Source organism: Homo sapiens, chromosome 15 (genome assembly GCF_000001405.40).
Source record: "Homo sapiens chromosome 15, GRCh38.p14 Primary Assembly".
Classification (NCBI taxonomy): domain Eukaryota; kingdom Metazoa; phylum Chordata; class Mammalia; order Primates; family Hominidae; genus Homo; species Homo sapiens.
Window position 1 is genome coordinate 70,456,345 of NC_000015.10, and position 12,521 is coordinate 70,468,865.

At 45.6% G+C, this 12,521-nt stretch overlaps 3 annotated features.

Annotated features, from left to right (window-relative positions):
* Positions 3,725 to 3,794: an enhancer, noted in NCBI's record as "active region_9687". NCBI's record gives its function as "activates an Ori minimal core promoter by ATAC-STARR-seq in GM12878 lymphoblastoid cells {active_cell/tissue: GM12878}" and the evidence as "EXISTENCE:reporter gene assay evidence [ECO:0000049][PMID:35858748]".
* Positions 3,968 to 4,467: an enhancer, noted in NCBI's record as "H3K4me1 hESC enhancer chr15:70752651-70753150 (GRCh37/hg19 assembly coordinates)". NCBI's record gives its function as "activates a minimal SCP1, AML or CMV promoter by ChIP-STARR-seq in primed H9 embryonic stem cells {active_cell/tissue: H9 hESC(primed)}" and the evidence as "EXISTENCE:reporter gene assay evidence [ECO:0000049][PMID:30033119]".
* Positions 6,509 to 6,588: an enhancer, noted in NCBI's record as "active region_9688". NCBI's record gives its function as "activates an Ori minimal core promoter by ATAC-STARR-seq in GM12878 lymphoblastoid cells {active_cell/tissue: GM12878}" and the evidence as "EXISTENCE:reporter gene assay evidence [ECO:0000049][PMID:35858748]".

Consider the following 12,521-nt stretch of genomic DNA (forward strand, 5'->3'; position numbering starts at 1 on the left):
TCTGCAGAAAATTTTAGTTCCTCCTGGTGGGTAACAGCATTTAGAAATCAAGATCTGGGTACTAGCTGGTCTCTCTGCTCCTGGGCTGTTATTGCGTCAAGGCTTTTTCAGTGGACAGAGTTAGGAAAAATAAAATGAGCTCATAATTATAGAATCTGTTCAAATTTAACATCCGGGTGGGTTTTTATTCATTTTCTTAAAACTGTAATACTTGAGTCTCTTTTACATAGAGAATCTTGTTTCCTAATATATTCTTATTTACTAGTTTATTTTTTTAATATACATAAACTTCCTTCAAAATTACCATATCATTACTATTTATCATAAACCTACTAGGTAAAGCTTAAGACATCATTGTAGTTTTATTTGTCCTTAAAATATATCCCACCACAGATGTATAGTTAGGGTATTTTTTTCAAAATTATTTGAATAGGTTTTTGGTCGTGTGTGTGTGTGTGTGTGTGTGTGTGTGTGTGTGTGTTGGTGTTTTTGTTTGTTTTGCTCTGTGGTTAAGCTCTCTAATTTACAATTAGGTTTATTTGTTTCTCTTCGTGCACAATTTGGGGAGGGTTTCTTTTTCCTATTTTTTAAATTTGATTTAATTTTTTGAACATGTAAATCATGTACAAATTATGTACAAATGATTCAAAACACAAAACTATATTTAAAATCCTATTTGGAGACATTTCATTCCCATGCTAATTCCCTCCCATCCTCCTCCATTAGTTTCCAGTTTATTCTTCCTGTATTCCTTTACGTGTGTGTTATTCATGTGAGTACATACATAAATACATACTGTGGTTGCCTCTTCTTTCTTACAGAATTCATGAAAGAATTTACCTGTATGACTGCATTATATGAGGTACAGAAAGAAACAAATGTAATCACTAGTGATAGAAATTAGAACAATGGTTGCCCTTGGGTATTGACTGGAAAGGAGCCAAGGGAACTTTCAGGAGCAATGGAGATGTTTTATGTCTTGATGTGGGCAATGATTACACAAGTTATATCTTTGTCAGAATTCTTCAAACTCCACACTTGAGACCTGCATATTTTGCTGTGTGAAAAGTACATCTCAATTAAAAAGACAATAAATTAAAAGAACATATATAAAGAGCTCCTAAAATATCAATAAGAGGATAATAAGTATCCTGGAAAAATGTGCAAAGACTATGAACAAACAACTCATTAATGATGAAACATGCATGTCCAACAAACAAATGAAGAAAGATGTTCAGCTTCACAAGTAAGCTGGGAAATGCATGCTCAAACATTAAGATTTTATTTTTACCTATCAGGTGGGCAAAAGTTAGAAAAGATTAATAATATCAAATGCTGACAAGAATTCAGAGAAATAATAACTTTCATGTACTATCAATTGGTGGAGGTTATTGAAAGGCAATTTGGCAGTGCCTATCAAAATTTAAAACTGCATGCCCTTTGATACTGCAATCTGACTTCTAGAAACCTATACAAAAGAAGTTATTTAAACTATGGTATTTCTGTACCATAGAATGAAGTGGATCTATATACACCAATATGAAAGGACCTATAAGTGAACAAAAGCAAAATGCAGAATAATATATAGCATAGCACAATCCCATTTATATTATTATAAAACCTAAGTGTATACAGCTACATACATACCTATATAAGTATTCAGAGAGTGCACAGGAAAAATGTACCTTAAGTATTGATAGGGTTACTTTGGGGACGGGGGGATGTGAGGGTGTTTGGTAAAGCAGAAGTTTCTCATATTGTATTGTATATTTTTAGTATTGCTTTTATTAAGTCGGTGCACATGTAATTGCAGTTTTTGCCATTACTTTTCATGGCAAAAGTTGAGCACACAGTATTACTTTTAATGGCAAAAGTTGAGCCCACGGTATTACTTTTAATGGCAACAATCACAATTACATTTGCACCAGTTTAATACAATAAGAGTGTTCCAGCTGGGCACAGTAGTTTACGCCTGTAATCCCAGCACTCTGGGAGGCTGAAGCAGGTGGATCACTTGGGCCCAGGAGTTCGAGAGCAGCCTGGGCAAGTTGGCAAGACCCCATCTCTACAAAAAACTGAAAAATTAGCTGGGAGTGGTGGTCTGTGCCACCACTGTAGTCTCAACTATTCAGGAGGCTGAAGTGGGAGGATTGCTTGAGCCCAGGAGGTCAAGACTACATTGAGCCAAGACTGCACCACTGCACCCTGCCTGGGTGACAGAGGGAGAACCCAGCCTCAAAAAAAACAAAAAAATAAAATAGTGTTCCTGCATTCTTGGTGTAATTTTAAAAACAAACAAAAAAGGTTTTCGGCAGTCTCTAATGCTAAGGATTTGTTAAGGAATCACTAAACACGGTTAGTGCTTAATAGATGTCCAGCATCATGGGACGGGGTGAAGGAACCTAAAGAAGTGGGTCCCATTCAAATCCCTGTACATTTACCTCACCATGATCATGAGGTATGAATCATTCTACATACAGTCACTGCTGTCATCCAACATGCACTTGAAAACATTTGACAAACATTTAAGTGCATAAGGACAGGGTCTCACTCTGTTACCTAGGCTAGAGAGCAGTGGTGCAATCATGGCTCACTGCAGCCTTGACCTCCTGGATGCACGCAATCCTCCTGTCCTGGCCTCCCAAAGTGCTGGGATTACAGGCATGAGCCACCATGCCCTGCCCATTCAAATGTATTCTTATGTGTGTGGCAGGGATAGGGAATCTTTTCCTGAAAGTTAGTAAATAACATGGGTTAACCCCTTATCCAGAACGCTGGGAACCGATGTGTGCTGAAAATCAGAAATATGATGTTAGTAGGTGCCACTGTGCAAAATCTGTATGTTACACAATACTCCTAGCATTCTGGGGAAGCACCTTGCAATCAACACACAACATTTCCACAGCAAAATGCATGAATATTTCTACTGAATATAAACACTACAAATAGTCACAGGTCAGTTCAGTTCCAGTTCTGCTGCCACGTGAGTTTGTGCCAAATTGACAAAATAAATTTTTGGTTTTGAGAACTCTTGGGATCTTGGAATTGTGGATAAGGGCAAGACCCCTCACTAGGCCTTTCCTTTTAAAAGCCATTTCTGATTGCATAATGCTCTTTCATTTCAGTCTGTCCTGTCATAGTTGAGCACACAGTGGATGAACCCAAGTCAAGGGAGCAGAGCGGTGCTGTCCCAGAGGCCTGGCCTTAGTCATGTGGAGTGATTTCCATCTTTGGACTAACTGTATCATGAATAGGAAGGCTAATTGAGGGCATGGGCTGGGTAAGATGGCGCCTTGGGAAAGGACACCACACCAGGGTCAGTGTGTGCTGAGTGCAAAACGTGGCTTTTGGTAGCCAGGTAACTGCCTTTTGTAGGGATGGGTACACGCACTGCTGTCAGCCAGCTCTGGCTAATTCTAACTGGATTTACAGAGCCCCACCGGGCTGGCTTGATGAGTCCCTGAATTAAAAACACCTGAGTGCCTGGTACCTGAGGTCTGTTTTGCACATACAAGAAGCATGGGAAAAGGTGTGTGCTTGACATACGCTCCTGGACTCCAGAGTAGAAGACCAGGAGAGAAGAGGAGGTCAGAGGTCATTTGCACTTCCCTGCCAGCCGGGTGGATGGAATCCGCCTATTTCCACAGGGGACCTGGTTTGAGGATTTGAGGAAAGTTCCGATCACCAGCATTTGGCCTCTTTCTGTTTTTGTCTCACTTCCAGGACCTGATGCAGGAAGCACACTATGACATGGTCACATGCAGACACACGTGGTGCAGGATGGACTAACCTCAAGCTCCACTGAAACCCTGGCTCCCGGCCGACCAGCCGTGGCCAGTGACCACGTGCAGTCTCCGATCTTCATTTGTGCGTCGATGTGGGGAAATTCAAAGTCAGCATGTGAAAGTCAGCTCTAGGGCATCAGGATTTAATGCGCAAAATTTTGCAAAATTTCGCAAAATATTTCACACGAGAGGGGGGTTTGAGTTGACGCTACCCACGTGGGTGGCGGCCTGGGTTGGTGGTGCCCCCTGGTGGCTGGCAGGAGCAAACGCAAATCTCCTCTGTAGAGAAGTGTTTTGTCTGATTTATCAAAGAGAACAAACAAACAAAACACTCAAAAGGCCGGTGCGGTGGCTCACGCCTGTAATCCCAGCACTTTGGGAGGCCGAGGCGGGCGGATCACGAGGTCAGGAGTTCAAGACCAAGCAATGAGTCACCATTAGCAAGAGTGCAGATGCAGAGCCAACAAGCAACAGATTGAAACCAGGATGTCTTAATGTAAATGCTATAAACATTTCGGACCAAAATCCTTTACTGTGGGGATGCTTAGCAGCAGCCCTGGTTTCTACCCACAAGATGCCAGTAGCATCTCCACTGCCACCTCCAGTCAATGCCACCAAAACTGTCTCTAGACATTGCCAAATGTCCCCTAGAGGAAAAAACTGCCCCCAGCTGAAAAACACTGATTTAGATCGTCAAAGACTTCAAATAATACAATAATCAGATAGGTTATAAAATAACAAGGTATTAAAAAAGTAAATGATGGAATAGAAACAAAGGATCGAGGAATAAGGGACAACAAAATGTACAGGCAGATGTTTATAAAAGGATCAAGTAGAACTTCTGGAAAAGAAAAAAAGAAATCTTTGAAATTAAAAATTAAATGGATGTGCTTGACACACAGATAAAGAAAGAATTAATGAATGAGAAGAGAGATTTGAAGAAATTACCACAAATGCATCAGGGAAGCCAAAGAATGGAAAATTTGAGAGACAGGTTAAAAGACAAGGAAAATATGAGAATGGTTAAGCTATGATTAATCTGTGCTCCCTCAAAAAAGTAAAAAGACAGTGGGAAAGAGGCCATATTCGGAGAGATAATGCCTGAGACTTTCCAGACCCACATATGCAGGAAAACTGAAAGATTCCAGGCAGGATGAAAGTGCAGGTTGTTGTGAGTTGCATGTATTAACAGAAAAGTTGAGGACTGGCTTGGGTGTGGTGACTCCCTCCTGTAATCCCAGCACTTTGGGAGGCCAAGGCAGGTGGATCATTTGAGGTCAGGAGTTCGAGACCAGCCTGGCCAACATGGTGAAAACACATCTCTACTAAAAATACAAAAATTATCTGGGCATGGTGGCATGTGCCTGTAATCCCAGCTGCTCCAGAGGCTAAGGCAGGAGAATTGCTTGAACCTGGGAGGTGGAGGCTGCAGTGAGCCAAGATTGTGCCATTGTACTCCAGCCTGGGTGACAGAGACTCCATCTCAAAAAAAGAAAAAGAAAAAGAAAAGAAAAGTTGAAGACTGAGCCTCCAGGGTTCCTCATTGAGACTGAGGCACAAATTCAACCCAGGGATCCATGGGAGGGCCACCCTGGCATCAACAGCAGGGGCCATGGAGTCCTCAAAGGGAGAAATCACTGTGGACAGCTGGCCAGAGCACAGCCTTGAAGGATGGGCTTGTCCAATGATGAATCAAGAGACCTTGGTCTGAGCCTTGTATTTTACAGGGCACCCAGGAGGTTCCCTGGGGATGGAATTTAGAAGGGTGAAGAGAGTGAAGAGGAAATGGGATGGTGTTCTAAGCAGGGAGGAAAGCATGGGCAAAGGTGTGGAAGCTAAACACTTCCTGAGCCAAAAGGGAGTCCTGTTGGGTCATACTGGGGAACACTCAGGGGAGTAATTAGAAACTGGATTGGATGAAGAAGGTAAGACCAGGCTAGGGAAGTCCCTTGAGAGAAAAGCAGAGGCTTTGGACTTGAAACTCGAGGCCAGGCATTGGCAACTATAGCCTGAGGGCCAAATCTGGCCCACTGCCTATTTTTATAAATAAAGTTTTATTGGAACAGAGCCACACTCATTCATTTGGTATCATCTATGGCTGTTTTTGAGCAACAAGAGTGGAGATGAGTAGTTGTGGCAGAGACCACATGGCCTGCAAAGCCTATAATATTTATCCTCTGGCCCTTTACAGAAAATGCTTGCTGGCCACTGCTGTAGGTGGGCACAGCCAGTCAATGAGGCTTTTCAGCAGCCACCAAGATGGTAAAGACAAGCCTAGCAGTGGCTGAAGGACAGGGTGTATTCTAAGAGGAAGGAGAAAAGTGCCTAACTTCTATTGAGTTCCTGCCCTATGATTTTCCTTCACCCACATTATCATTGTTACTTCTCCTAACCACCCTGCCCAGAAGCTGTTACTATCTCCATTTCAGAGATGAGGAAAATGGGGTCCGGAGAGGTTAAGTGACTTACTCAAGGTTACCCAGTGCTTCAGGGCAGAACTGAGATTTAATTTCAAGTCGGTCAGATTCCAAAGTCAACGTTCTTCCCACCACACCTCATTGCCTTTCAGGGCACTGAATATCCCAGGTGGGAGGGGACAGCCCCAAGTCAATGAATTGGCTACTGTGTGTCACAGCCTGCAACAGTCCAAACTGGGGAGATGGTACGTGTTTCACTTCCCTGAGAACAAATGTAGAGGCCAAGTCTGATCTGCAGAGGGGACTTCTGCCCAGGGTTCTTCCAGCAATTGCTCTCAACTTGTTCAAACATGGACTCCACCCTGTCCCCTCCACCCCATGCCTCCGGAGGCACTGGCTCTGCCAGGAATGCATATCGTTCCATCTTCCCCCAGCCTCATCTCACAGCCAGATGCTAAAGGCAGTTGGGAGATACCATCTCCCCATCTACAAAACACACACACACACACACACACACACACACACACACAAGGGTTGGAAGGCCTGCATGGTGTCACCCACAAGAGATGACCCAGTTGATTTGCAGTGAAATTGCAACACAGCCTCTGCTTCCACCCCAGCTGATCCTAAGCCCTGGAGCAGAGGGGAGCTGGCCTTGTTTCCACCCCTAGCCTGGCTCCTGTTCCTCTCGTGACTAATTCAGATCCTCATCTGACAGCCACCCATGACCACTTCATCCAGAGAGGCCCCAACAGACCTGCTTCTTGGTTTTGCGGTCAAACTGGTTCTTGAAACTTCCCCAGAGGTCCAGCAGGGTTTACTCTGTCTGTGGGGAACTGTAACTGGCTGCCCCTTGGGGTTGAGCTGGTTGAGGACTTGAGAAACCATGAGAAGGAGGTCAGGAAAGTACAACTTCTACCTGAGACCTTGGTTATCTGTATGGTGTGTAAGACAATAGGAATCCACCCAGTAGATCCCAATGGATGGGTCTGTTCCTTATCAGCTCCCCATTGGCCCAGAAGCCAGGCCAGATAAGCCTCTGACCCCAGTGTTTCTATCAGGAAATGAACACAAATATAGGCAGACAACCTCCCCAGAGTAGGTGGGAGGAACCCTGTGACCCCCTAGGCTCATTGGCTGGCTCTAACGAGCAATTGCTACACCCTCCTACTCTCTTGCCTTGGGAAACAGTTAGAGTTACCTGTCAGCTCCAGGGGAGACTAGACCCACACCTACTCATGAGCTGGGGTGTAGCTCTTCTGGATGCAGAGGGAGAGGACAGAATGAGAGACACCTGCCCATGCTACCCACCAGCCTTCCTCAGACATGGTTGCCAGCTCCTTGTCACAGCCCCACTTTGTTCTGCTGTGACCACAGTGTGTGCTCACATAGGAGAGTAGAAGGAAAAAGACCAAGAGAGGATAAGGCAAACAAGATTTCATGAGCATCTATTATGTGCCAAGCTCAAAGCTGGGCACACACAAGCATCATCATTTTTTTTCCTTATGCAGTGACACATCCATGATTTTTTAGACTCTGCGTGTGCATCATTAAGACACAGCATAACATAAACGTGAAAGGCAGCTGCAGAGACAGCCCTTCCTAGATCCCTGCTCTGCTGCTAACTATCTGCGTGGTCGCAGTTTACACATCTATCACATAGGAACTAAACAATAATAATTATTTCATACGGTAATTACAACGATTGAATGAGGTCATTTATATAAAGTACTTGGAATAATGCCTGACACATTGAGAATAAAATAGTAGTGTTAATTGTGATTTTTTTTTTATCATTACCCTCTTTTACAGCTGAGGAAATCAGACAGGGCTAGTGACCTATGTAAGGTCACACAGCTAGAAAACCGCAACACAATTAGCCAGGCATGGTGGTGCACGCCTGTGGTCCCAGCTGCACCAGAGGCTGGGGTGGGAGGATCCCTCGAGCCCGAGAGGTGGAGGCTGCAGTGAGCCATGATCTTGCCACTGCACTCCAACCTAGGTGACAGAGCGAGATCCTATCCAAAAACCAGCCAAACAAAAGAGAAATGGCAACACTGGTATTCATATCCGGGTCCATCTGATACCACTACTCCCCATTCAAAGATTTTAGTCCTTAAGGGTCAAGTTAAGAAGAGAAGCTCTGGAGTCCTTGAGCCCCAGAGCAAGGCCCCTGCAAAGGCAGCTGCCAGAGACTATGGCAGTCCCCAAAGAAGGGAGAGAGTCATCTTGATAAAGTCATGGGGGTAAGGCACTCTAGAAGGGCCTTGGGACTTCTCAGTAGTCCCAGGGCAATGGCTCTGGAAGAAAGCCATTTCCAGAGGTTGCCCATCCATGAAGACCAGCCAATGATTATGCCGAAAACACTCAGGGAGACAGCTCAGCAAGGCCAGTGGGTGGTGAAGGGCAAAGTCAGTGGGTGGTGAAAGGACCCCTGACCACAGATAAACATAAAACCCCACTGCCCAACACCAGAGCAGATGCATGACTAGCACCCACCTGTAAATGGTGGTAGCTGAGCATTGTATCACTCAAGACCAAAGTGGCAGAAGCCACTTCTGGTGAAGCATCCTTCCGTGGCAAGCCCACATCTAGACACAAAGTGGGCCAGGTGTCTGGAACCTAAGGGGAGCTTCCCAGCTCCCTGAGTATCCATTTTTCCAGCTGTGAAATGCAGATGATCAGACCCAGCTTCCAGGGCAGTTCTGAAGACTAAGGTTGGGTATACACAAGACAGAGTAGAAGGTAAGGTACAGAGTGTGATTAGCTTTCCTCCATGCATATCAGGGTGCTGGTAAGGTGTACTTGTGACCCTCTGCTCACCACTGTGCTCCTAATGCTCCTGCCCAAACCTGCTTCCCATTCCTTCAGAGAACTGGCTTCAAGATGGGCTTCTTCTGAGCTTCTCTCAATGTGACCCCCACACCTAATGGAGAATAAAACTGCAACTTGAATATCCCTGGACAGGTGTAGCTGATAGTTTTGTCTCCATGTTCTGGGGACCAATAAACATAAAAACCCTGACTTCCTCCAAAGATACTGAGTTTTCCATCATCAGTAGGTTAAAGGCAGAGGCCAGCACCACTTAGAGAAGAGACTGCAAAAGGGATTCATTCATTGAATAGAAGCCTTCAAAATCCACAAGGGTCGTCCTGAGCCTCTGATGCCCTGTGGTTGGACTTCATAACTACTTGGAAGGCAGAGCTCAAAGCCTTCTTGATAGAGGGCTTTCTGCCTATTGAAGGTATTTATGGGCACACAAGTTCAAAGCCAGTACAATATTGGCATGCAAGAATGAGAGAAGAATGAGGAGACAGGGTAGGAGTAGGGTGCCCCCATGGCCCAGCAGACCTTTCTGCGAAAAGGGCTTGCTCACTTCTTGAAATTCCTGAAACTCCACCTCTACAGCCCCAGAAGGCTGAGCTGTGATAAAATCTACCCTCTCCCAAGGCCTGAGGCACACCAGGTATCCAGGAGGGAGATGAACTCACACTCACTTCCAGAAACATCTTAAGATTCCACGATGGTTGCTCTGAAAATCTGTTGGAGGCTCAGAAAGGCACCAAGGCCGCTCTTTGGAAGACAAGCAGACAGCAGCGAAGGGAACCAAATCCTCAATGACTCTGGGGACTGGAGCCTTTGAAAAGAGATGGTTTAATGAAAAGGTGCTGTCAAGAGCTAGCCGCCTAGAAGGCAGCTAGTCCTCGGCTGGCTGCTTTTTCCCTGTTGCCTCCCTTCTCGCTTAGTCAGGAGCTCCTGCTCAGCCCTGCAGACCCCCAGACCTCAGTGCCTGAGAATTAATCCTTGCTGGTTTGGACAAGAAGGAGCCATAGCCCTCAAATGCACAGGCCTCCTTGATGCCTGGAGACTGTCCTGTTACCCAGCCTGTGGCCCTGGGTTCTAGACCTGTTGTCCCTGCCGACGCTCCATCTGCCACTTCCCCAGCCAGGTGGTGACCATGGCAACCGTGGCTTGGAGAAGACAATGCAGCCACAGATGGTTTTCTACAGATGGGTCAAGTGCACAAAGTTATTCATTGTTTGGCCAAGGGGACTTCTAGCTTAGAATTAGAATGCACCTCTAGGGAGGACTTAACCTTGACAAGTAATTTCTTATTTAATTTTCAACACTCCTTTGATATGGGTACTATTATGATTCCCATTTTAGAGACAGGGAAACTGTGAAGGAATTTGTCCTTGGTCACACAGCTAGGAAGTGACAGAGCAAGGATTTGAACCCAGATTGGTATTATTACCAATTATTATTACCAATCTGGGTTCAAATCCTTGAATCCAGTTCAAATCCTTGAATCTGACAATAGATAGATTGGCTTTAGAGTCAAGCTCACACACTTTCCTCCTTGCCCGGAGCTCCCTAATGCTGACACACTGTCTTGGAGCACCCTCTAGATGCTCATCTGATGCCTGATTCCTTGGCCCCATCTTTAACCTCCAAGTACTTCCAGGCCTGGCCTTCCCCCCGGGCTCAGCCTCCTCCTCTACAACTGCTCTCCCTGCTTCTGTTCTGCCTCTGCTCTTCTTCCTGGGTTCTGGAGCTGCTGCCACCTGCAGGCCTCATGTGCAAAGATGCTTGAGCTCTAATACAGGATGTCAGAGCAGGAGGGCTGGGGACTGAATCCCTGCTATGTATGCTCCGCCGTGGTGGCCAAGTGAGGGCAGAGGCCCAGGAGTTTTAGTCTCCTGGAGAGATTTGCATCTGGGCTATTCTGCAATGACAATCTGGATCCCACAGGAAAAAATGGGGGTGCACTAAAGTCAAGTGCACATAAGCAGTAGGAGGCATTGAGATGAGCTCCAAGGGAGATCTTACATCTGAGATGAGTCAGTCTCCTGCTGTAGTCCTGCCTAAATGCTCTCAGAAGGAATATTTTGTGTGTGTTTCTATACTACCTTTCTTTTCTAGTTCAGGAAGGTCTTTACTCACTGGACCATAATGCAGCTGGAGGAATGTATGAAGCTATGAGATGTCCCCGTGATTGAGATTAGGATGGGCTCTTTCCCTCCAAGTCATAGATACAATCAACACTGATCAGTGAGGGATCAAGAGAGCCACAACCTCGTGGTGACAAACAGATTTAGAATCTGCGGCTGAAATTCAGACTGCGCTGCAGAGCTGGGCATTGTCTGCCAAGGGACCCAGTCCAGTAGGAGAGAAAGAATAAGTCTACATAGCTCTGGTTTTATTTCTAGATTTGCCACTGGGACACTGTGCCAGCCTCGGTGGCCACCTCCCTTGCCCTCCATAGGTAATTCACATAGAGGAAGAAAGTGGGTGGAAGAAAGAAAGAGTAGTGGTTAACTTTGCACCCTGTAAGAGGTAAGCACTACGGGAGTTGCTTTACATAAACTACCTCCCAATCCCCTAGGGGGCAAGTAGCAGATTCCCACTTTAAAAAGGAGGAACTGGGCTCAGAAACATAAACCCCAACATCACACAGCGACTTAGTAATATGTATGGAATGCAAAGCAATAACAATAGCAATAATAGTAATACCAATCTGGCAACAGTTGATATGTATGTAGAACAAGCTGTGTTCTGGACAATATATTGATTCCTTGAAACCTCACCCAAAATCCATCAGGTCAGTATTATTATCCCCATTTTACAGATGAGGAAAATGAATATCGAGATCTGTGAATCCCACCCAGTGCCAGCCGCCCTGACATCTTTCCTCTTCATGTCACAGAATTGTCATGAGGACCAATGGCATCGGGCAGCAGAAAACATTGCATATTCCCCAAAAGAAAGTGGCCCCTGGGCTTTCCTTTGCTTCCTTCCCAGAGTGAGCCATGCTCTGGAAGGGATATTTCCATAGCTGTCCTCTTACAGCATCAGTAAGCACCATGACTTTCAGGAGTACAGGATTGCACCTTTGACGGCTCCAGGCCCACAACCGATTGCATTCCTAGACCACAGGGAAGGGCAGCAGATCACTGCCTCATCTGCCCAGAGCTGTGGAGGCAGCAAAGGGTGTTTAACCTCTGCTGGTGAATTGAAAGCCCAGGAGCTGGTGCAGATTCATTTTGTTTTATTTCTTCTGTGCTCCCATAAAACGGAGTAGGGGGTTTCACAGGTGCAAGTACTGCTGGGGAAAATCCTGGGGGTGGGGGCAGGGTAAGGGTGGGGAGGAAGAACTGGCTTAGCTGCCAATCTGGAATGGGTAAGCAAGTGGGAGAACGAATAGGAGATGAAGGACTGAGGATAAGAAGGGTAGGAGAGGGAGACAGACAGACAGAAAGAAAGACAGAGATGGAGACATAGAAACAAAGAGACAGAGACCAAAGCAGAGAGATAGGGA